The following is a 27,026-nucleotide window of genomic DNA, read 5'->3' on the forward strand; positions in this document are numbered from 1 at the left end:
CGAGCTCTACCCCTACTGGTATCAGCAAGCCATTTATGATTTATGATAGGATAGTGTCAAAAGATGATGGTATCCTATTTGTAGGAAATCACACAATTAAATTGATGTTTTACAAATAACAGATGGCCTTTAGTCACTTTCCCGGGAATGACATGACGAAAACAAACTTCAAAATCTAGTACAATTTGTAGGTCGCATTCATTATGTTGTATTAGTCCCTAGTTTTATGTTTTACAATGTATGATTGAAATAAAGATATTTACTTATAATTCAAACATATATTCTATTACAGAATAACTTGCATATAAAATTTACAAATAAATATACATATGTCAGAGGGTTCTCTGCTCCCTTACGCTTCTGCTTCCTGAAAATGATAGAAAGCAAAAAAACTGAAAATAAGAGGTGAGTGTTCAATGAGCTGCTGGAGGAAGAGGCCCTGGGAAATGTGATATTTGGGAAAAGACAGGAGCAAAAATATGGGATCAAGGAAGATCCAAGCGAGGAGTCAGCAAACAACTAAGCAAAAATTCATCAACTTCAATATTATATATAAAGTCAACAAATCAATTATTTTAAAATGAAGTTTTAATCATTATAAATTGTAATGCTCCCAATTATGCTTAAGCTGTTTCCTGTAACTGTGCTAAAACATGTATTTTTGGTACTTCTTTGAAATTAAATTAGCCATATATATATATATATATATATATATATATATATATATATATATTTGGATCAGTAATGATCTATACTACAAAAGTGTAACGATGTAGACACTTAGGAAGCATTGATTAATCTTCATCGTCTCGTGTGTTCTAGGCTTTGAATCATATGAGTTTCATGTGTATATTGCTTTAATATATATTTGTATATAATTCTAGACCCTTTCTACTGATATATATTTCTATATTTCTATTCTTGTGACAAAATTTACTGTTTTACCTAAAATCATATCCATTAAATTTTAATATCTGGTAAGAAATGTCCATCCACTTTGAAAAAAAAAGGATACTGGCATTTCTTTTGTATGTACTCCGCACATAAACTTCAAAATAATTTTGTACAGCTCTCGACAGAAATCCATTGCTATTGTAATTGCAATTTCATCACACTTTCATATTAATTTGAAAAGAATTTTTATTTTTCTAATATTAAAATTTCCATCCAGAATACAGCATATTTTGCTATTTACTTTATGCAGTCTTTGTTTGATGTTTTCAATAAAATGTGTGTTTTTTTTTCATTTAGGTCTTCCTTTTCTCTTGTAAGATTATCTCTAAGTATTTCACGTTTATTACTATTGTTATTTTATAGATAATGGGAAAAGTAATTTTTCTTTTCTATGTTTACACAGTTACTTCAAAATAACAACTATTAATTTGTATATTTATCTTACACCCAGGTACTTATCAAACTTTCTCATTAATGTTAATGTTTTTTATACTATGTTAGGTTTTGTACAGTCATTTTTCTATACTATGTTAGTCATTTACTATCCTATGTTAGGTCTTGTACAATCATTATATCTGTAATAAGGTTTAAAGTGTATACTAAAATAGCACTGTGGAATTTCCGCTAAAGTATTTAAATGTGAATAACAATTTTAATGTGTGGCAGGTAATTTTTTTTCATTTCTGATTTGACTTGAATGTCTGAAAAATCCCTAAAAGCAGACAACTAATAGATAACATTATTTGGGGAAACACTATGGTTAAACTCCCCAGACATCCTGGGAATTCTCATATTTGAAACTTTATGCCAATCAAAACAATTCATTGACTAGTGAAATATATATGTGTATATCCCCCAAATATGTATTTTATGTTTATTTTCTTACCTTCTGTCCTCTAACAGAAATACAAAAGTTTGCTTTCAAATTTATCTGGTATCATATTTCATAATGCTGTTGTTAATTATGGATAACACATTTAAGCCATGTGTTATTTATGACAATCTAATTTCCACATTACTCATTTTGCTTTCTTAATTTTAATTTTCTTTCCTTCCCTCCCTCCCTCTTTCCTTCTTTCCTTCCTGCCTTCTTTGCTTTCTTTCTGCCTCTCTCTTTTTTTTTTTTTTTTTTTTTTCAGACAGGGTCGTGTTCTGTAACCCACGCTGGAGTGCAGTGGCACAATCTTGGCTCACTGTAGCCTTGACCTCCTAGGTTTAAGTAATCCTCCCACCTCAGCCTCCTGAGTAACTGGGACTACAGATGCACATCACCATGTCTGACTAATTTTTTTAATATTCTTGTAGAGACAGAACCTCACTATGTTGTCCAGGATGGTCTCAAACTTCTGGCCTTAAGCAATCCTCCCACCTCGGCCTCCTAAAGTATTGGGATTACAGGCTTGTGCCACTGTGCCCAGTCTTGATTTTCATTTTCTAATAAGAGATGCTTGTGGAATTTCATACTCATTAGCATGCTAAATTAATTTCTAAATAAAAATCTGACATCATTCTCAGCCAGACATCACTCCCATTAATGGCCTTGGAAAATAACTATTTTAGTCTTATTTAATGTTTGACTTAATTAATACAGAGTCATCTAGTTGCATTTAATTTAGGATATCGCTTAAGAGATTAATAATATTTTAAATAACTTGTCAGAGAAAATTTCTCAGCCATCTCGAATTTCACTTTAAAAAATCTGAAATATAGACATTGTGAGCAACATGAAGATAGAAAGTCAAGGCAGGGCAAAGGCACTGATCAGAATTAATGCACAGTAGGATTGCAAGTTGTATAGGATTCACCTAACCATCTTTGTTCCATTAAGACAGAAGACAGCATGATTATTAGCACTAATTTTATCTTCTTACTACTATCATACATTTATCTGGTACTTATTAACTTTTGATAGAAATAAATACGCAATTTGGGAGGCCGAGGTGGGAGGATCACTTGAGGTCAAGAGTTCAAGACCAGCCTGGCCAACATGGTGAAACCCCATCTCCACTAAAAATACAAAAAAATACCCAGGCATGGTGGTACATGTCTGTAATCCTAGATACTCGGGAGGCTGAGGCAGGAGAATTGCTTGAACATGGGGAGCGTAGGTTGCAGTGAGCTGAGATTACATCATCGCACTCTAGCCTGGGCGACAGAGTGAGACGCTATCTCCAAAAAACAAAACAAAAAAAGAAAAAACAAAAAAAAAAAGAGAAAGAAATATGCAAATAAAAATTGTACAAAACATGTGTCTGAAGAATGCTCACAAATTGAGGACACCTGTGTCACTATTATTTAGGTGATTTGAACAATATTGTCATTTTTTAATGAAATACTTTTAACACACATGAGATTAGAACTGAAAAATGTGAACATACTTTTATGCTGTTAATTGGTAAAGTTGGTATCTAACTGATGATTCAGATGATCTTTTTAAATTATTTATTTTTGCAAATCAAAAATGACACCATGCAGATATATTAGATACATTCATATTTTTTAGAAAACAGTACTCTATAAAGGTGGGCTACTAAACATTTTAGCAAGTAATTTAAAAATCATTTTTTCCTGCCTATTTATCTATTTAGTATATGTATTTTGGTTTAAAGTTGAGAATTTAGTTGAACAACTCTTTTTTTTTTTGAGACAGAGTCTCACTCTGTCACCAGGCTGGAGTTCAGTGGCCCAATCTTGGCTCACTACAACCTCTGCCTCCCGGGTTCAAGTGATTCTCCCGCTTCAGACTCCTGATTAGCTGGGACTACAGGCTCACACCACCACACCCAGATAATTTTTGTATTTTTGGTAGAGATGGGGTTTCACCATGTTGGCCAGGATGGTCTCGATCTCTTGACCTCATGATCCACCCGCCTTGGCCTCTCAAAGTGCTGGGATTAGAGGCATGAGCCACCGCGCCCGGCCTTACCAACTTTTATGATTAAAATCACCAAGAAAGAATCACTGTTTTAGCTGCAAGAATACTTAGTAAAAGCATACGGATTGGCACAAATAAGTGCTTTATCTTCCAGTGGAGAAACTTCTTTAGCACTGATGTTCTTTTTATTTGTAATGACTTAATATGTAAATCATAAGGATTTTGATTTATAATGATTTTTAGACTACATCACATTCTAAATCATATTACTTCAAAACCACATTAGTAAAATATTAATGCTCATTTAATAAACCTATTAAATCATGTATAACAAGAATAAAAATGTATCTTATTAGAAAGTAATTTTTTTATTCTCAGAGTTTTCATCAATCTTCTTAAATAAATATGCCTATGGTATAAATTCACTTATTCCTTAGATCACATTCCTCAGTGTCATCCTAAAGCAGTCAACTGTATTGTTTATTGACAGCAAAAGAAATAAGCATATTTTGGGTTTTTTCTCTCATACTAATAGTTCCTATGCATATTGACACAATTTGTTTTTTGCTTAATGATTATCATACACAAAGCTACACAAAGCTAGATCAAATTGGCACAATATAGGAAGAATTTTGTTATATGAGAAGACATTACAGAATGAGAGAGTTTAGGTCTGCATGTGATTAGACAGAAAAATCCAGTTCACTTGTTTTGATTATTGAAGCTCAAGATTACACTATTAATTAGCAACCAAATTGTAGATTTTGCTACTGTAGCGCACACATTTAAAAATAACATAGAACAAGGCTCTTCTGTTCTTTCTTTGAGATAGGAAAACCCTTAAAAGGTGGTTAACTGAACCAGGAGAGTGTAAGGCGCTGGCTTCACTATGTGCACTGAGATCACAGGAAGAAGGTGCAGAAATCCAGGAGGAGAGGAGTCGAGCACTTGAGACCAGCCTAGAGGGAAGACTGCAGGAGTCTAGAGAAGCCCCTTGTCCTACAACAGTTCAAAAAGTTACGCTGCTGTCCATGGACATTTGGGTTGTGAAACATAACGAAACACTATTCAGTCTTTAAAAACATCCTATTTGAGCCAGGCGCGGTGGCTCACACCTGTAATCCCAGCACTTTTGGAGGCCGAGGTGAGAAGATCGCCTGAGGTCAGGAGTTTGAGACCAGACTGGCCAACATGGTGAAACCCTGTCTCCACTAAAAATACAAAAATTAGCCGGGTGTGGTGATGGGCGCCTGTAATCCCAGCTATTCGGGAGGCTGAGGCAGGAGAATCGGTTGAACTCGGGAGGCAGAGGTTGCAGCCAGCCAGGATTGTGCTGTTGCACTCTAGCCTGGGCAACAAGAACGAAACCCCATCTCAAAAAAGAAAAAAAATATCGTATTTGTAATAACATGGATGTACATATTGGACATTATGCTAAGTGAAATAAGCCAGCCTCAGAGGGCATTTACTGTATGATTCCATTTATACAAGGTATCTAAAGTAGTCAAATTCATAGAAGCAGAGAATAGAATTTTGGTTGCCAGGGGCTGAGGGGAGAGGGAAATGGAGAATTGTTTTTCGATGAGTATAAAGTTTCTATTATGCAAGATGAGTAAGTCCTAGAGCTCTTCTCTACAACATAGTACCTATAGTTAACAATGCAGTGTTGTGCACGTTAATAAAAGAGGATAGATCTCATGTTAAGTGTTCTTACAACACACACATACACACACACACAAAGAACACAAAGAAATTTCTGGAGGTGCTGAATATATTTTGCATCTTGGTCAAAGTGATGGTATCAAGGGTAAACATATATGTCCAAACTCATTAAGACATATGTATTGGCCAGATGTGATGGCTCACGCCTGTAATCCTAGCACTTTGGGAGGCTGAGGTGGGAGGATCTCTTGGGCCCAGGAATTCAAGACCAGCCTCGGCAACAAGGAGACCCCATTTCAAAAAAAATTTTTTTTTAATGAAAACAAGATGTATGTATTAAATGTGTGCCATTTGCATATTAGTTATAACACAATAAAGCTAAAAAATAAAAAGAAGTTATGTTGCTGGATGTAATACTAGGTGTTTATACTGCCTCATAATTTCCTTCCTTCCTTCCTTTCTTCCTGTCTTTCTCTCTCTCTGTCTTTCTTCCTTTTTTTGTTAACTGAGAACTACTCTTTTCTAAGGACCAAAGTAAGTCTTTTACATACATTACTTAATCTAATGCTGACAAAGCATGTGCGAAGTATGGATAAGTGAATTGAAGCATAGAGGGCCTAAGAAACTTGTCCAAGGTAACAACGTTAGAAAGTGCCAGAAACAAAATTTTAACCCTGGTGCATATGAGTTCAAAAGTTCCAGAACCCCTCAAAATATCGTGGATTCTATAGTGCTGTAGTCTATATTATTAAGTTAAAATTTTAAATTAGCATATAAAATATTAACACATATAACTTCAAATTTATAAAAGGTTTTCCAAAAGAACTGGAAAAAAAAGAATACATTTTGTTTAGATGTGGAAAATGAGTAGCTTGAAAGTAAAGCCAAACAACAACAAAAACAATGACAAAAAATCTGTATGTCGTAATCATGTTTTTCTAATTTGTTGAAGAGTAATACATTTTAAAACTCTATGTACTGTTCCAGTCAGGCAAAGCTTACCACAAAATTAAAGTAACACATATTTAAGAACATTTAGGCATATTCTCACACTGCATAGTTATCAGGAATAACATTAAATCAGTTGACATAAATTATTTTACTATTATTTTTTACAATGTGAATATATTTCATTTCAGAGTAAGTATTTCAATATGATGTTAAAGGTTATTTATATTGACAGCTTTTCTGCCTATTGTGTAGGATGTAACAATTTCTAACCACAAAACTTCCGTCACAAGGCTGACAATTTTCTCAAGGCTGAAATTTCCTGGTTTTAGAGTATGAGAAATTTTCAACTTAATTATTCCCTTGCTCCATACTTAGGAAATCATTCAAAATCCATCTCCTTTCCAAATCAAGGTTCCTAGGGTTTAAATTCCTCCAGCATAGATGTAGGTTTGACCCCTGCATTATCATTGTGAATTTCATATACATGCATATACCTGGCCCACCCTACTATACTATTTAATTAAAATCTTTTGGTGTAAGGAAAGGAGATATGCATTTTTATTATTTTCTCATGTGATTCTGATGCAGACAAAAGTTTGAGAAACAACATCTGTGTGTTGAAGGCCTTGAGACTGCAGACCTGAGATTTTGAATGTGTGATCACTAAACTGTAGGGAAGCCAAGGAGGGACATGGTAAGAAAGGTCTCTGGATCCTGGGGAATCAGCTCATTTAGATTTAAAAATAATCAGAATAAATAACAGAGAAGGATAGAGAGACAGAGGTTGAGTTAAGAGTGGGCCAGAAAATAAGTTATATATTCTGGTTCTGCTCTTTCTAATCTGTGTGTTTTTAAGCAAGTTAGTTAACATTTTTATGATTAAAGTGAGGATATGGAAGTAACTAATTTATAAAATTCTGTGTCTATATGTTTTAAATTCCTTGATGTATAACATTAACACTTACTAAATGTTTGTTAAATATTTCCACTAATATATATTCAGTCTTCCATCCTTCAATCCATCCATGCAGATTTAACTAGTATCTGCATCCTAAAATGTGTGAAGTTCCGTGCTATGTTATCAAAAAACAATAATGAGAAAATCTAGACATAACATTTCTTCCTTTAGAGATCTTAGACTCTTGGAAAGAATATAGATACTAGTCAAATAACCATACATATATTAAATAACATCTGTGATCATACATATATTAAATAACATCTGTGATAAATCTAGAAAAGGAGAGGTGGATGGAGCCAAGGGCATATGTAATAAGATAATTTGGTAGGGAGAGGACAGTAAATGTTTTCCTGAGAAATCTAAAGGAAGAAGAGGAGTTAAGAGGGTGAAGGTGGGACTTTTTCAACAGGCAGCAGCATGTTCATGGGCCTTGGGGTTACTATAAATGCCTGTTTTGTTTGGGTGACCAGACAGGCTGAGTATTTTATCTTTAATTGTCTCTATATTTTACATTAGGACTTTTGATCAATATTTTATAGTGGAGAAAAGTGAGGCTTAGAAAAATTAACAATGTAAGCAAAGTCACATGTGATGTATCAAGTAATAGACCCAAAAGTGGAAATCCCATAAGTTCTGCTTCAAAATTTATGCTTATTTTCTCCATTTTGGCATAAATGGGTTTTAGGGTAGAAATGAAGCTAAAAGACTCTCCACAATTAGTAGAAGGAGAGTTAGACATCAAGGAAGAGTAAGAGCTATGAGATTGAGAGAGAGGAGAAAAGGAGAAAGAAATACTAGATTATGTCTGCTTAAATATCAGCATTTTGCTTTGGGCACAGATATACTCATTTATGGTGACGGATAAATAGATGCTATTGAGGCTCCTTATTTCCTACTTGGCTATGCTAGATAAGAATCCCTGTTAACATAAACTATGGTAACAGCGGAATCTTTAATTCTATGTATTGTTTCTCAACTGCCGCTATATTGTAGAATCACCTGATGAGCTTTTAGAAAAATATATCAATGTCAGGTCCATTCCAAGACAATCTAATTGTTCTAGGTGAGGTGGGGTCTGGATATCAGTACTTTCTAGAACTTCCTCAGTAAATCTAATGCGTAGCCAAGGATAAAAACCAGTGCTCTATCACACATCACACAGTATACATTACAATATATTAGATTAATTAATCTAGTTATGTACTGAAAGATGACAAATACAGTTTTGTATGTATTTGTATTTTGAATTATCATAAGATAATTAAATTATGTTGTCCAGGAGGCAATTAGAAGTAATGGATGTTATTAAAATTATTTTGGTTTATATTTTATATTTCAGAAATCTAAATGAATTTTAGATTTAGTGATTTTTACAACATATCTTTTGCCTTGCCATTAAAGACTACCTATCATTAATAGAATTTTTTGTCATTATCACTCATTTTTATTCCAATTGATAAAATGAGGATTTAAAATAAATGTTTATGTATTCCTTCCTTTTAAGTAAAATCTTTAGACATAGCATTACATTAGTAATTAGAGTTCTCTTACTGTGAGTTCTCTGATTAAAATATGTAATGCTAAGTATTAAGAGAAAGATAGTGAATTTATTTCCTATTTTCCAGAAAACACATGATTTGCATTTTCTAGATTTGTGATGAGTTTCGAAGTTATCAGTTTTCTATAAACAACAACAAAAAGAACACACTTCTTGATACAAATAGACGTTAAAAAATAACCTAAATTTCAATTCAACATAACTGAAATTTCAGTTGCTTGAAATGTTTTTGGAGATTTGTTAAAAGTGATACACAAAGTGCTATATACAGTGTTCCAATCTGCATGGGTTACATTGACCAACCTGTTTATGGCTGATAAATCATATTCTTATGAAATCATGTGACTTTCTATTCCTAGCTAATGATTAAGGCATTACATTTCTCTCTTCCTCAAAGGAAATGTAAACCAGGCTTATGCCACCTTTAATGCTTTAAATATTGTGACTGAATTTTAAACACTTCCATTGTTTGCTTAATGAGTTGCTTGGTACTGTTCAGTCCTCACATCTGCGGCCTCTCGGTCCCCATGTGCAGGCCTAGCCCCGCTTGGTTCTAAGACCATTTAACTGGTATGTTGGAAAAGTAATAGAGGATCTCTATAAAGCATCAGCATTCATCCTGGTAATGGATATTTTTCCTCGTTCATCATTCATGAACCCTCATATTTTCTACCAATTCTGAGAATTTGGTAAAGAGCTGAAACCTTGCATTGGTGCCCTATGGAAGCTTACAATTAATCTAGGGCCGATATTGTAGTCATTATGTCTAGAGTTGTCACCATATATCCACCTGCCTGAGCCTCTACTGTGTCCCTGAGTACCCAGCTTTTGGTCCATACATCCAAACTTCCTCCTCTTGTTTACTACTGAAGCCTTCTTGAAGCATTCATGTTCCCACTGCAATAATATATTTATACTTCTTCTCATTCCAAAGGAGAGTTGAAGGAAATGGGACTATCTCTTTTCTGTATCCTACTGACCAATCCCATGGCTGTCAAAATACTAATAGAAACATTATACATTAATTATTGTTTACCCAATAAAAGTATATCTACTTGATATTTTAGTTGTGGCTGTAATTCTATATCTTGTTAATGTAATGTTCTCAGACAAAAACTCATATACACAAAAATCTACACAGATTTTAGTGGTCTCTATATTATGAATAATATTCTAATTGCTCTTTAAAATAAAGAATAACAGAGAAAAATAGAGAATAATTCTTCTGTAACATTCTTTCACACTTCTCTAAAGCTTCTTAAAAGAATATAATTTCCTTATATATTGCACAGATGAAGGGATTTATTGATAATTTTTATTCATTCACATATCATTATATGGTTTTAAAATGTCAACTAGTATCTTTTAATGTAAAAGAAATACGTGATTTCAACTTTAAGACAAATTTACAAATACATGCAATTTTAAACATTTTTTAAACATCAAAAACCACAACATTTCTATTCAGAAGTGTTTTTATAGTTACTTACATTCAACATTTAAAATGCCAAAATATTTTTAAAATATGGCTCAGTTATTTTATATACATATATATGTCTCAATATTTCACGTGTTTTGACTGTAACTAATGGATAACTTGTTTTGAGAAAAGGATATTGTAAATTATACTTGCCTTACTAAAGGATCTCAGATGTTTGCAAGTACAAAAGGGAAAACTATTCAGTGACAGATTCTTTATTTTTATTTTGACCTTCATTAACAAAAGTAGTTCTAATTGTCACAGTTTTTTGACCTACAATGCTTATCTTTTCAGGTTTTCTCTTTGGTTGCTAAAGCACATTTAATTTTTGTAAACAAATTAGAATCTACTTAACACCCTATGATCAGCTGAATAATTCACGTAAGTCTTCCTCTGAGGGTTAACAAGCACCATGCAGGTCAGGAACTGCAGCTCCACTCCATGTTTTTAAAACATTGATTTTTCATTGTGCTCAAACCTCAATTTATGCAATTAAATTCCACATACACATTTTCTTTATTTTCAGGAAGAATAAAAATATTTAAATAAAGATAACTCCCTAAATTGATTTCAATGTACAAAATAAAGAACTTTTAGACCTTGGACTATAGAGTTCAGCTTCCCAAAAAGATGGTAAAAAGGAAATACATTAAGGGTTATAAGCAGGGACTTCAGCTTTAGTCTACAGAGCTTAAAAGTGGTTGTGGGGATACAATATATATTTTTAGATAAATAAAAAGGCAGGAGTATTTCAGGCAATGCTGCAGGTGACATCTACACATTTACACTGCCTGAGCTAAGGGATGTTTCTAAATGAAACTTGAATGAAAAATATCCTTTATTAAAATAGATCAATGTTTTGTCCAGCAGTTCTTAGATGATCCACTTGTTACTGGTAATTTCAGAAAAACAGAGCATTGTTCAGAACCTGAGGGAAAGCAGGTAGAAAAGGTTCATGGACACTGGGTAGTGAGCCAAAGCTGGAGGAAAGGTGCCCAGTACACAGTTAAGAATAAGCAAGTGCTAGCCCCAAGCATTCCCCTCTGCTGCTAAAGTGTGCCTTTTAGGCCTTCTAAGTTCCTCATCTTAGATCTTTAGGTCTTTCTCTCCACTGCTAACCTCAGACCTCAAGTATAATTTCTCATTTGCACAAAATACTGAAGGCAGCATTTTTACTTTTGTAGACTGAAATCAATCTCTCTCTCTCTAAATATATATATATATATCTCTTTCTTCTTCTTTCTCTCTCACTTGTCTTATTTAATATTTGGTGTTGACATTATGACATGGACCCAAGTGATCACTACTAAGTACTTTTTTACTCTGAAGTGTTTTAAACAAACAGTGCATTTCCTAAGGAAGTTGTGTAGAATCTGTGTATTCCTTAGCCCTTCTCCACTGCACGTGGTAATTGGGGGCAGCCATATGGGTAGATGCCATAGGGATCACATGATACAAACCTAGTACTAAAACCTGTGAGGGACTGGGTGTGCAAATGATCAAGGTGGAAATTTATTTGCGTCAATATTTCAAACTGGCTGTTAGCTACTGGTAGCAATAACACCCTGAAGTAAGTGTTTGAGAAAGGAAAGTATTCCCAAATATACTACTTATTTGGGGTATTAAGAGGGACTATAATTATTTTTGTAGTATTAATCAAGTAAAACCCTGCTTTCTTACAGATGATATGGAAAGAATATATAAAATAAAGTAAAATTATAAAACAAATTATTGATTTTATCAACTTTTTCATTTGAAGATTTACATAACAGTAAACCAAATTAGAATAACATTAAATAATGTAATTTTTAGTCTACCCAAGTCCCAAACTTATTTTGAATAAATCATTTTAGAAGTGACTTGAATTATTAATAGCACTAATTAATGGCTGAAATTAATGCAGTATACTTTTTATTTTTCATGAAAAGATTTATAACACCTAAAGCTTAGCCTCATATACTCTGTAAAAGATCACCTGACCTAAGTTTTAAATCAATAATATTTTGCTACAACTAAAATACATTAGCTTAAATTCACTTGTTTTTGCCAAAAATGTTGGTCTCCTGAAAAGCTAACTTTCTAAGACTATTTTCTCAGACCTCAGTAAGAACCAATAATTCTAAATTAAGTAATACCAAAATAAATGACACCCAACAAACAAAACACTGTCAGAGCAATACTGAAACTCACTCCCGTACCTGTCTTCTATGCTCCCCATTGTTTCCTGGTCCCAAGTACCCCAGAGGGCCTCTCACTGCACCACCCATCTATACATTTTTCCATACACAACTCTGTGAAAGTCTCCTCCATCCTAAGCTGTTCTGATTACGCCAGGGTGCCAACTTCTGCAGGGCAGTTTAGAAAGAGACCACACACACACACACACACTGCTATGGTTTGAATGTGTCCCTTCCAAAATTAAGTTGTTGCCAATGTGACAATATTAAAATGTGGGGCCTTTAAGAGGTGATTAGGCTCATGAGGACTTCTCCCTGGTGAATGGGATTAAGGCCCTCATAAAAGAGGTCCACAGAGAGGTCTGCTCTTTCTTGTCCTTTCACCTTCCACCGTGTGAGGACACAGCATCCCTCACCTTCAGAGAGTGCAGCCCTCACCAGACAAACGAACCTGCCAACACCTTGGTCTTTGACTTCCCAGCCTCCAGAATTGTGAGAAATAAATTGTCTGTTCTTTATAAATTACCCAGTATTGGGTATTCTGTTATAGCAGCACAAAATGAATTAAGGCACAACTATATACCAAAATGAAAAAATATAGGTTTTCTATCATATTTAAAAGATACTTTTTAAAAATTAATAATACTGAGATAGATGGCTTGAGATTTGTTGTGTTAGCAAAGGTTTTAAAACTGTTATGCCCGGTTTGGTCATGTAAACTAGGGTCTTTATTCTTTACTAGTACATGTATAAACTATAATAATTTGACAATCTGTATCAAGAATCTTAAAAATATTCATTCATCCTTTTAACTAAAGGACTGAATTTTAAGGAATGCACCATAAGGAATAACTCAGAGATGGGCAAAAAATATATACCTACAAGAATATCATTTACAGTATAATTTCATAATAAAAAAGGTAATGACCTAAATAGCCAGTATTAAATGAATATTAAATACTTAAACCATACATATAGTAGAAATACATACCATTAAAATATATCAAAATTTCTGGGAATATTTTGTAAAATAAGAAAATCATCATGAGTATTATGAAGTGAAAAACATGATATAAAATTATTTAAGCTAAATTAAGTTTAAGTAATTTATTCATTCATCAACCATGTACTGATACCTAGTATATAATACATGTTGAGTTAACAAAGATGACTAAGACAGCTTTTGCCTCAAGAAGTCCACATTTAAATGATAAGGGTAAGAGAGATACTTAAACAATAAAGTACCCAAAATCATTACCAGTAATTTGGTGGAGGCACACACTGAATGCACAGGTGAAAATGAAAATAGAGTATTGTTGTTAAAGTGCTGACATAAGTCAGGGAGGAGGATCACAAGAGCTTCATAGAGCAAGTGGTATTTGAACTGATTCTTGACAGGAGAGTAATTTTTGGATTCTGTAATCTTCTACTATTATAGTTGTGGCTGTCTGTTGCTTATCTATCAGGCACTTCAAAGATGATATTACATTTTACTCCTCACAAGGACCTTTCTTTTTTTGTGTGGTTTCCCATGAGTGTATACAAAAGCATAGTTCACTTATTGCAGGAAGATTTTCATAGCCTTATGGTCACAGGCTTTGGAATGTATGAAATTTTATTTTTTTTGTGAAGAGGAGCAATAAGAATTAACTATGGTAAATATTTCAGTAAGCATTATTGTATCTTAGGCAAGCCAGAGCTAAAGCACTTTCTAAACTCAAAGGAATTATTTTAAGTAATTTTGGAACTAGCTTACTTGCTTAATTTCTAGGCCTAACGTATATACTAACAACATATTTCTTACATACAAATGTTCATTGGTTTTCCTGCTAAGGCCCACAGTTGAGTCTTATATGTACCAAAGCATAAATGGTGTCATACGTGGCTCAAGATAAATAGAGCTGAGAATTGTATCTAATATTTGATTTTATTCTATATTTTGGGGCTCAAGTTGAAGGTAGTGGTTCTAGAACAATGGGCTGTATAAGAAAGTTAAACAAACTAACCATTTGGTCAAATGGCATGAAACTGAGGGACATGAAAAAGTATGGGATAGGAACAAATCAACATTTGGAACTCAAGCAGACAATCCTATGGAGACATTATAAGAGACTGATCAAGGAAATCAAGACCAGGTAGAAACTAGCTCTTAGCATACAGCTGGCAGATTTAGAAAGAACAAGAGGTAAAACTGATAAGAATCCCTGATGTTGTTGAGAGCACCAGCAGGGAGCTGTCCTACGGTTTCATGGGTAGAGAGCGAGCTATTCAGAGTGTAAACCTTTCAGATAGCTGTCTCTGTGCCTTCGCCATGTGATGTCCCTTCATCTCTCACCTCTCAGAGTTTTGCACATCCTTTGGAGGCCAGTACAAATGTAAATATCAGGCTTTTCTTGGCCCTTCCTTGCCCATCTCCAGCTCAGATAAGCTGGTCACTCCCCTTCACTGATAGCCCCGATTACACTGATTACAATTGCTATGTCTACATCTCCTTGAAAGATTATGAGCTCATACATGTCTATACTTCCCCATAGCTAAAGTTCAGTAAAATGTTTGTGCAGTAAATAAAGGGGCTTAGAGGGCACCACCCCAATGCTGCTGTTACTGTTATATTTGTAATAGATCAAAATGTGGAAATGGGGAGAATAACTTTGCTAGAAAGAAGAAATAGCCAACACTTTGTCTTCACCTCAGATTTAACTTTCCATTCCAGATGCCTTAATATGATGTAACAAATAATAGGAGAAACACCATACACATGGACATGTAGGCAAAATTATTGATGATATTAGCTCAGCCCTAGGGTGGTTTAATTTCAACTTTCAGAAATGTGGATGTGAGTAGAATGGTAAGAGTCTCCATACATTTTCAAATGTAGAAAACCATTCAGAAAAATTTTGAAACATTTAAATATCCCTTAAAAGCACACAATTAAATTAGGAAGACTAAAGACTCCTCAAATCAGGTTTAATTCAGCCTTCTGCCAACTAAAATTTTTTCCCAGAATTTCCTCATTGTTCTGTTACAGCAATACATTTTTATTCAAAATGAAGATGCTGAACTTCAAACTTCTGAAGACATTTCTGCAACACAATAAGCTGCAGATTAAATTATGTGGCATATGATGTTAATGTTAAGGATATTTTATTAGTTTACAATATTTTAAAACTTGGTGATTTGTGTGTAATGTCTCTTTTGTCCATTAACCAGACTTTGATTAAGAAAACAAATTTCCTATGCACATTAACCGACAGAATTATCAAGCACACACACACACACGAAACAATGCCATGCACTGTACACAAGTTATGTAAAGACCTTCAACAAAGAAAGAATATTTCAAGTTTTCCTCTGGGTTAAAATTGCTATTTTTATACTTAAGGAGTAAAATGCTTTGCGTGCTCATGATGCATTTAGGAGTAGCTAGTTTTCTTCCTCCTCAAGAGACTTTTTTACATTGGCCCGAGATTTAGGAAGAACCAAACATATATATGAATTCAAGTTAAAAATCCTATTGCACTAGTGGTAAAAGAAACCTACTGTATAAATCCCTGAATACTGACAGTCCTAATTTTCATCTCCTTCATCATATGCCCTAAGATATGTAGTATCTTCAGAAAAGTCATTTTTAAAGTACACGAGACAGAATGAGAACGTTTCCAAAGCCTATTTACTGTAATGCTTGCAAAGGATTTCATTTGAATATATTTATACTAGTTCTTTTACCTGCAATAATAAATTTTAGCTCATTTCACAGCTGTATCCCATACAGCAGTGCACACTAAATATATCAGCTTAGCTGCCTGTGGACAAATATAATGATGCTTGCAGGTTTTCACTTGGATTCTTTCTGGGAAGAAAAGAAAAGGAAAACTACAGCTGGAATGCAATTCTCCCTTTAAAGGACACAGTGAAAGTCAGCATTTTCTATTGTTGATAATATGCCTATTCATGAAATTACATCAGTTTATATACTTGAAAAAGCTTTCCTGAAATTAAAAGTATACTGCAATATTGTATCAAAACACAACACAGGTGGTCAGACAAGGGAGGTGGGAGAGAAAAGAACCACTGAGCATAATGAGAGACATTTGTAGAGACAGTGAGAGAAATCTGAGACTATAAAGGAGAAGAAAAGAAAATTGTGTGTGTGTGTGTGTGTGTGTGTGTGTGTGTGTGGGAGACAGAGAGAGAGATATGGGGAGAGGGAGAGAGAGTGCCCCTGTCAGGTTTTTTGGGAGACACACAGATGAAGAAGATTTAGAAAGTTTTGTTGTGTGGTGTTCAATTTAAACTCCTGCGTTATTTACTTTCAAGAAAATTCACAGTAAAAATCTATATAACCCTTTACAAAATGAATTTTAAAATGTAAATATACTGAAACTGAATATTTAGTTATAGCTTGAAGCAGCACTTTATGCTTTTAAATAAGATACATTGCATCATGAAACAATATGGGAATATACTTATATTTAATTATAGGGCAACGGATTGTTTAGATAAAATACGTTATCATTTACGTCACAAAAGTGAAGGAAACTGTAAGAGAAAATGGTAAAATCTCAAGAACATGGTAAAGTGATCAGTCAACATATCACATAGACAAAATATTTTTCAAAACACGTCTGTAATCATTTACTCTATCTCCCTGTGCTTGTGTGAAAATATTAAATGCAAACTTCAGTTATCACCTATTATTTATACCATATAATGCTAATTTAAGTCTTGGAGACTTATTCTTCACATAACTGGAGAGTATTTTCCCTGACCTTGGCTTCTTCAATCAAAATATTGAAGCATACTTTAAAGGACTTTATAGAAAATTTCATTTTTAGGTATATCATAACATCAACAGACACCACGATATATGTCCTGGCTGCTGGTTTTAAACTAAGAGTGTGGTTTGGGTTAAATCACTTAACTTCAGGTACCTGAGTTTATTCTTTCATGAAAGGAGAATTTATTATTAATGAAGAAATCGTGAGAATTTAGTAAAAGAACATGTATGCATGAGTGCTTGGGGAATTATAGAGTACCATAAGAATACAAGGAAGTATTGTTATTCCATCCACTAAGCTGTGAAAACGATGTAGGCAACTTCCAAAACAGGTTAGCATTGAAAGTTTTTATTGGTATAATTTAGATTTCTCTGCAACTTTAAAATACAAGTGATAAGTCATGAGAGCTCTGCCATCCCAACTACTTTATTTTTTTCTTTATTGAAGACTTCACTATGCGATCAGATTAAAAACTTGTTGGCATCCTACTAAGTGTGTTCATGATTATTTCAGCAGATTTTCTTCCTAAATGCACTTTTATTCTTATGAATTAGGTCCCCTAAAACACTTTCCTATATTTTTAATTACTTATCTTCTAATTACATGTTTTTAAATGACAATTATATCATAACCGAAATTCACAAAAAACATAGTATGTATTATGCTGTGCTGGGTTTAAAAAACATGGCTCAACTGGGAGTGGTGACTCACACCTGTAATCTCAGCACTTTCTGAGGCCAAGGCAGGCGGATCACGAGGTCAGGAGATCCAGACCATCCTGGCCAACATGGTGAAACGCTGTCTCTACTAAAATTACAAAAAATTAACTGGGCATGGTGGCACACGCCTGTAGTCCCAGCTACTTGGGAAGCTGAGGCAGGGGAATCACTTGAACCCAGGAGGCAGAGGTTGCAGTGAGCCGAGATAGCACCACCGCACTCTAGCCTGGGCGACAGAGCAAGACTCCATCTCAAAATAATAATAATAATAATAATAATAATAATAATAATAATAATAAGGCTCAGTTTGGCAGTTTCTCAAGCAATTAAAAATACAGTTACCATAAGATCCAGCAATGTAACTCCTAAGTATATATTCAAGAAATGAAAATACATATCCACACTAAAACTTGTACATCAATGTTCATAGTAGCATGATTCATAATAGCCAAAAGGTAGGAACAACCCAAATGTCTATCAGCTGAGGAATAAACAAAGGCAGTGTATTTATCCAGTGGAATTCTAATACATGTAAAACATGGATGGACTTTGAAAACATGATGCGAAATAAAAGGTGCTAGTCACAAAAGATCACGCAAGTTATGATGCCATTCATATGAAAGGTCCAGACTAGGCGAATAGAGAAAAAGTAGATTGGTATTTGCCCGGGACCTGGGCTGATGGCTCAGGGATGCAGGATTTCTTCTTGGGGTAATGAAAATGTTCTTGAATTGATTGTGGTAATGGATGCACAAGTCTGTGGATATGCTAAAAGCCATTGAATTGTATGCTTTAAATGGGTGATTGCATGCTACGTGCATTCTATCAAATAAAGCTGTTAAAAGAATGGCTCTGTGATGGCAATCCCAAGTATTCAGCACGTGACAAACAAAGGAGATTCATCTCATTTATAATAACATGGCACAAAAGTAATTTTCACTCTAATTTCCACATTTTTCATAAAATACTCAAAATAATTTAGCTTTTAGACGATGCTATCAGGGTAGAAAATTACCTCAAGAAGAATGATCTTGAAAGCTCTGAAAACTTTCATCATGATTTGGGAAATCATGACTTTCATGATTCTGCAGTGCTTGATCAACCAAGGTTGAAGGACCACCTTGTCTGCTTCATAGTATTTATTCTCTTCTTGTGGAACTTGCACAGCTGAAGCAGTTCAAAACCAGTTCTCTTATACAATGAGCCAAGAGAACTAAAGAAATTACATTAAATATTGCAGTAAGAGACAGGGAGAGAAATGTATCTTAGCAGCAGTCAAAGCTCTCCTTATGAATTATTTGATTTCATAAATCCAAATCCATTTTGATGACTCTCCCATTAGAGGTATGTAGTCACCACAGCAAACTCTCAAAAGAAGCTGTTTGATAAGAGTGATTGGATCTTCTGATCTTTGCTGCATTTCTGTGATTATCTGTGCCAGCTCATGAGCAGCAGATGCCTTAATCCTGATTACTCCTCTCTCCACAGGGCCCATGAACTAATGGGAACAAATGAAGCACAGTGCATAGAGAAATGTTGATGTTGGCTGGAAACATGGTTGCTCAGACACTTTAATTTGAATTTGTTGTTACATATACTTTCATGTAGCCATTCCCTAAAACTCAAAAAAAAAAAGAATCTTTTAAAAATCTTTTCTACCCTCCATTTTTAAGCTTCATATTTTTGAAGACCTGATATGATTGTCAAAGGCAAAGGTTGTCAATCAATGCCCCATAGTCCAATTTTGGCCCACTAGATGTTGCAGTCAGCCAACGGTATTGTCCTTTATGAGATTTTTTTGTTTTTAGTTGAACCTTGTCTCTGATTGCAAGTGATGGACCTGCAGCAGGGTAAGGGAGTGGTATTACTTCTCTTAACCAGGTAGTCCACAGCAGAGAAGAGATCAGTATAGCCAGCCTTTATATCATGCCTCATCTACTCCCCTCATTTGTATTCCCTTTCACGGAACTCATCAGGGATGAGTTCTATACCTGTACATATAAATATATGTACATATATTTAAGCTTTACTTATTTTAATATTACTTTAGTCAAAACTGCAGAGGAAAAAATAAAATATTACATCATTCTTATTAATAAACCTGAAAGGATGCTACGCTATTGAAGTTACTGCATTTAATTAGCACTACCTAAGATAGCATTTCTCTTGGAAAGTTTGCAAGGAGAATTATAATAGTTCATTTAGATGAACAATCATATAAAACTCATATATTCACATCTGACTTAACATTTACAAATATATTCTTTCATTCCTGGCAATATTTTATAAACCCAAATGACTTGATCTCCTAGATTCTATGAATCAGAAAACAGCAAATAAACTTATTATTATGAAAAGACTGTGTCATCCATCCATTCCCTTCTTCTCCAAACTCATACCCACCCTTCTTCCCACCCCAAATTATTTCCTACTTTTTGTTACTCCAAACTTCTTTCTATCCCTGGAAACATGCCATTTAATTTCTTCACAACTGTTCCTTCTCTGCCTGGAATTCTGTCTCTCTATAGCCTTTCTCCATTGTGTAAACTGCTTATCTTTCAAACTTGTGTCTTATGAAAGTTTTCCTTCCCTGTCTCATTTTGCAAGAGAATTACTCCCTCCTCCATTTTACATCCATATATGTTTCTATTTTTGTAATAAGTTCACTAGCCTCAAATAGTTTATTTACACAGGATAGAGAACTCCATGCTATTCATGTTTGTTCCCCTGCACCTGACACACAGACCTTGCCATAAAATAGGTACTAAGTGCCTGCCAATTTTCCTCAGTTGAATTTGATTAACACAAACTGGGGAATAAAAGGTCACTTAATTCAGACTGTGAATGGAGTCCCCTAAAATCGTTATGCAATGCAATGTATGTTTTTATACAGATACATGTAATCCACATTATTCCATCTGGGTCTGTTACCATTCCTGCCTCAATGATGTCATAATCAATGGAAACTATTCACAAGTAATGTTTTAGAGAAATAGTGTTCATGGATATGCTGGCAGGTAGATGCTACTAGAAAAGTACTTCTTGGAAATTTGTGCAAGCATTGCAGTTTGAAAACATTGTACAGGCACCAGAGTGGCAAACACAGGAAGATGGTTAGACATAAAAAGGGTCTTAAAATAAAAAGCGATAACTTAGTGGAAAGTAATGCAAGGACTTTTATAATAGCTTTTATGAGTGGGTTATTGAGGAACATAAGCTTGGCACAAAACTTTGTAAAATAAAATCTTAATATAAATTTTGTATAATATTTTAGTGAAAAAAGTGTATAATTGCACACATTTTTAAAAGTCACTACTATAAATACCACATAAAACCATATTTTAGGAGGTATAATTTTCTTAATATCAGGTAAAATTATGAAGTCCTGTGTGATAATTAAGCCATATATGATTGCATTATTTGCATGTGCCTGTATATATATGCATGCATCTAGATATGCAGACATGTATACATGTGTGATTATGCTTATAATGGTGCATCAAATTATTATTGTGATTCTGTCAGAAGTTTACAAGTGCTACACAAATTTTAAAGAATGTACAAATAAATGGGTTGTAATGGACATGAAATAGTTGAATAGCTGTCTCTCTTTCAAGCTGGTAGACAACATTTTCATTTCCTTCAGAAGATTTTGAACCACGTATATTGACATGTGAAAGTAGGATATTCATATATCACACACACACACATAATGCATTTCAGGAGAGGAGTTTAAGAAAGGAAGTCTGATCACTCATCGTATACTTCCAACATCCTTTCATTCACAGCATCACCGAGCAGGAAAGTCTTGCCAAGAATAATCTCGGGTTTTACAAGCAAAGGAACTTTGGAACCCACAGTCCCACTTAGAGACTCCAACCTCCAGCATTGCCTGCATGGCTAAGATATGCACAATCACAAGTAAAAACAAAACACTGGGGCAGAATGTCTCTGCATTTAAAAACCATACTTTGAACAACCTTACAGTAAGGCTGAGCTTTGTAATTACACTGTTGACTCTGACCAGAGGTAGAGAACAGAGCAATGTCAGATGCAGAGAAGCTTGACATTCATATGCAGATCCAAGGAGGAAGAGGAATCAAAGTAAAAAAGGAAAGGACACAGATAGATTCAGGAGACAAATTCTGTACCAGTGAGCAGTTCACACTAGGATTATAGCCAAGTAAGGGATAACATTTACTGAGCAGTTACTTGTGCCAGGCACCATCTAAGTACACTGTAGATTTATCTCAAGCTATCTTTAAATAATCTGTAGAGGTAGTTACTAATATCATATCACATGGTATAGCTACAAAATAAAAGACAGAGATTAGAAATCATATTCCTAATAAATAACAAAATTAGGTCAAAATTCATGCACTTCTGGCTCAGAAGTCTGTTCTTAAACATCTTTTTACTGACTACACACACACACAGGCAAATGCACACAAACATATATTTATTTAACTAGTTATTGATTAGGTGCTTCTTTCATTCCAAGCTATGCATTCAATTCTTTGCAACTAATCTGGAAATCCCTGAATACAGTGGACCTCTGTAACGTTTATAGTCACACTCTGATTTTTGTAGAGAAAATAAAAATGACTTTTAAATAGTGCAAATCAAATAGTCACCATTTGTGTTCTGATACCACTTCTTCTCTGGTGCAATAGAGAACATACCTACAAACACATCCATCTACAATACTCAGAATGTCCTGTTATTTGCTAGCGCTATAATAGCCCAAGGGAAAACATTTTCTACAGACTACACAGAACAATTAGAAAGCCCTGTATTGGCCACATACCATAAGTTAAACTATTTTAGCTACATAATCAATGTCTGTGTCCAATACATTTGCTTGGGAAATTTAATTTTCCATCAAGCAGTATTGTTCTACGTTAGGCTGTTAATAGTGTACTATATTTCTATTCTTACGCACACCAACTATCCACTTCTGGGTCATTGTTTACCTGTCTCCTTCCTGAGGGCGCTCAACAATGTGTGTCAACGGGAAGGTCATGGGAGCAACCTAAGTAGCAGGCTGACTTAACAGCTTGGTTTCCAGGTCAACTTACTAGGGCTTCAGCACAGTGGACCTTCACTGTTTCCCAGAAGTTCAGAAAAATGTTGCATCTCCCACTTTTTCCCAGACAATGGCTTCCTCAGTGCAAAGCAAGGAAAAGTAGATATGCAGCTACATGATTTATTAACCATACCAGAGTCCGCTAGGGATACAGGAGGTATGTATTACACTTGAAAATCTCACCAGCTTGCAGGCTTAACTTAATCTTTATTATATTTGCCTATTTCCTTCTACTTTGGGATATCATTCATCACGCCCAGGATACTCCTCTCAAGAGGGAACAAAGTGTAGGACCATCTACATTTATTCCTTACTTAATTCCCATGTGGTTTTTTTTCATTATTGAACAATTATCTTCAGTATGTGTCATTCTACCAGAACAATAAAAAGTGGAATATGTGCAGCACACTCTGGACTGAGACTTTGAACTCCGCCAGCTAAGAGTTGGCTACCTACTCTTGCTACTATTACTCCTACAATTAAAAGAATGCAGATCTATCACCAAAGAATATCTGCAGATGACAAGCAAATGAAAAGATGACAAGCAGATGAAACATCATGTTAGTAGGGAACTGCAAATTGAAACAAGATATGCATCCATTAGAATGGCTAAAATAAAAAATACTAAAAGCACCAAAAGTTGGTGAGGAGTGGAGAAATAGGAACTCTCATTCACTGCTGGTGGAAATGCAAAATGGAACAGCCACTTTGGAAGGCAGTTTGGCAGTTTCTTATAAAGCTAAATATATTCTTGCCATATGATCCAGCAGCATGCTCCTTGGTATTTACGCAAATGAACTAAAAACTTACATCCACACAAAAATATGCACATGAATATTCATAACTGCCCAAACTTGGAAGCAACCAAGATGCCTTTAAATAGGTAAGTGAATAAACAAACTGTAGTATAGCCAAAGGATGGAATATTGTTCAGCGCTCAAAAGAAATGAGCTGTCAAGCCACGAAAAGGCATGTAGAAAACTTAAACACTTACTGCTAGTGAAAGATGCCCAACTGAAAAGGCTACATACGGTATGATTCCAACTATATAACGTTCTCCAAAAAGCACAAATATGGAGACAGTAAAAAGATATGTCTTTGCTAGGGATTTGGGAGGAGGAAGGGAGAAATAGAAGGAGCACAGGGAATTTTCCGGGTAGTAAACCTATTCTATATAATATGGTAATGGTGGATAAATATCTCTACATATCTGTTAAAAATCCTTAGAATGTGCAATCCAAAGAGTGAATCCTAATGTAAACCATGGACGTTGGTTAATAATAATGTAGTAATATTGGTTCATCAATCGTAACAAATGTACCACACTAGCGCAAGATTCTGATAGTAGAAGAAAATAGTGGGAGAATGGGAACATAAGGCAACTCTGTACTTTCTGCTTAACTTTCTGTAAGTCTAACACTGCACCAAAAAGTCTATTAAAAATAAAATCATTTTAATCCAAGCATCGCTCTCCCACCCTACCCCTGCCCCCACCCCACACACCAGTAACAGATGAGAAAAACAGCTAAAGCCCAATGCGTTGTGTTCCGCTCAAGAGCTGGGCCTGACCCCCGGGCTCCACCGCCAGCCTCCTCTGTCCAGTGGAAGGCAGCGCCAGGGATGCCTCCCGCGGTAGTACAATCTGCATGGCTGGTGAGGGGTGGGGGTAGGATTTTTCAGAATCTTCTTGAGGTTCCTCTGTTTAGCTCCTCGCCAGCCATCTTTCCAGCACCTCTCTCCCCTGGGCAAGGAATTCCGTAAAGAGTGGACCCTACTCGGTTGTGGGCTGTAAATTGTCCTTCTCTTCTCTGTTCTCTGTCCCACTCTTGTCGTCTTCAATCTCCCATTCCTCCCCACTGAACTTGTCATGGGCCCACTTGGGGCTGGTGCTTGATTTCCAGAACATGAACCGGCCCTGACCCGGAGGTCATCATGCAAGTAATACTTCTTGCTTTTGGGTGTGTAATCTAGGTCCCACTCCTCTTACCGGTTTCTTTTTTGAAAATCATTGTTACTCTTGTTATTGTTCCCAGAGTAGTTGCCTCTGTCCTGGCCTCTTCCTCTGGCTTGAAATTGAAAGTTTCCTCGAGCGCTCTGCCACCTCCTCTTTCACTTGGACCCACAAAGACTTTAGTCCCCAGTCTCGATGTCTCAAAGCCCGTGGAGCTCTCCTCTCTTTTCTCTGTCTCTTCAGTGTACTCTTCTGCTTTGTAGGAGTGAGATGACCGGGAGGAAGAGGAGGAGGATCTGGACGTGCCTCTCGCTCTCCGGTGCTTCTTCTGCTTCTTTGATCCTTTATAAGTTTTCTGTTTTCTCAGCTGACCTTTCCCTCGAGTGGCTGGAGTCTCGGGAATTCACTGATTCTCTAGATTTACCTCGCTGAAGATCTCTCTCCTTATGTTTTTTATGACGTTCAATATCAAGGCGGAGATCAACAGGATCATCTCTGTATTTTCCCTCAGCCTTGTAGCCAGGTTTTCTGGGACTTTTCATTTCATCACGAGCCAAACCATGTTTTATGAAAGTACTGCGGGAAATGTCTATTGTCCTGTAACTTGTTTTTGGCTGCCTCTTGCTCAGTTCCTCTATTTAGGTATTTAGTAAAGTGTTTATGTAATGTCATTCCTGAGGACCCAAAGTGATGCTCTTTAACATGGTGAACAATGGTCACTATATGTTGGGCTAACAGTTCTGAGGGTCTACGCTGAGACTGAGCTGACTGTATGTGCTGGAAAATGGAACGAAACTCCTATTGGAAACCAACAGTTTTGTTCTTAATTTCATTTCATTTGGAGCTAAGAGGACTAATTTGATGACTTTTTATCTCTTCTCCCTTGCCCTGATTTTAAAAGCCCTTTTTTTTTCTTTTATTTTTTTAGGCATATATAGTAATATTAGAAACATTTAATTTGGGAAACTTGGATTCTTAAAAGAGAAAACAGAACATGTAAATAAACTTTGAAGTGTTCACCTCAAAAGAAAAAAAATAATAATTTTAAAAGAATGCAGATAATTTGCTTGATTTCTGTTTTCTCTGTGCTGTTTTTCTCTCTTAAAATATCTCACTTTTTCCCCAAGTTTTATCAGTCTTGCATAGCTTTTCCTGAATCTACTAATGTGACTCCTTCTATGTGGACCATCTCTCTCTGACGTCCCCTGTGACTTGGAACCTCCTACAAAATTACCCTACTGCATGTGACATTTGAAAATTATTGTTCATATAAGGGAACACATTTGTGCTTTTTCTCCATCTGCCCTTATTTCATTTCTTTTCCCATAGCATAACTTTGATATAATAATATGGGCATAATAGAAAACAATACCCCAAAGGTTATGATTTCACATACTAAACTGTAAAATAACAACTAGCTCAACAGCTTTTCTGGAGGATGCAATGGCATCTTTTTGGCTAGGTCCAATTATGCATCAGAAACAATAGATAGGTTACTTTTTGGTATCATTGCTCCAAGTATTACCTAGTTTCCCTCACCCTTTCCCAATATGCTATTATTTGTACAAATTTATAGGGTACATGCGCAATTTTGTTACATGCATAGGTTGCATAGTGATCAAGTTAGGACTTCTAGGATATCCAAAATCCAACTAACGCACATTGCACCCATTAGGTAATTTCTCATCATCCATCCTCCTCTCCCCTCCTAACCTTCCCAAATCTCCTTTGTCTATCATTCCATTCTCTACATCTATGTGTACAAATTTTTTACCACCACTTATGAATCAGAATATGTGATATTTGACTTTCTGTGCCTAGCTGGTTTCACTTAAGTTAAAGACCTCTAGTTCTATCCACATTGCTGCCAAACA

The 27,026-nt window shown here is 35.2% G+C and overlaps 1 protein-coding gene and 1 pseudogene across 5 annotated transcripts in view; both read right to left on the reverse strand.

Moving 5' to 3' along the window:
- Positions 1-27,026, reverse strand: part of THSD7A (thrombospondin type 1 domain containing 7A) — a 461,834-nt gene that overhangs the window by 424,980 nt on the left and 9,828 nt on the right. The gene's annotated exons all lie outside the window — the stretch shown is intronic.
- Positions 24,776-25,955, reverse strand: THRAP3P3 (THRAP3 pseudogene 3; annotated as a pseudogene).

The sequence above is a fragment of the Homo sapiens genome, chromosome 7 (assembly GCF_000001405.40).
Source record: "Homo sapiens chromosome 7, GRCh38.p14 Primary Assembly".
Lineage (NCBI taxonomy): Eukaryota > Metazoa > Chordata > Mammalia > Primates > Hominidae > Homo > Homo sapiens.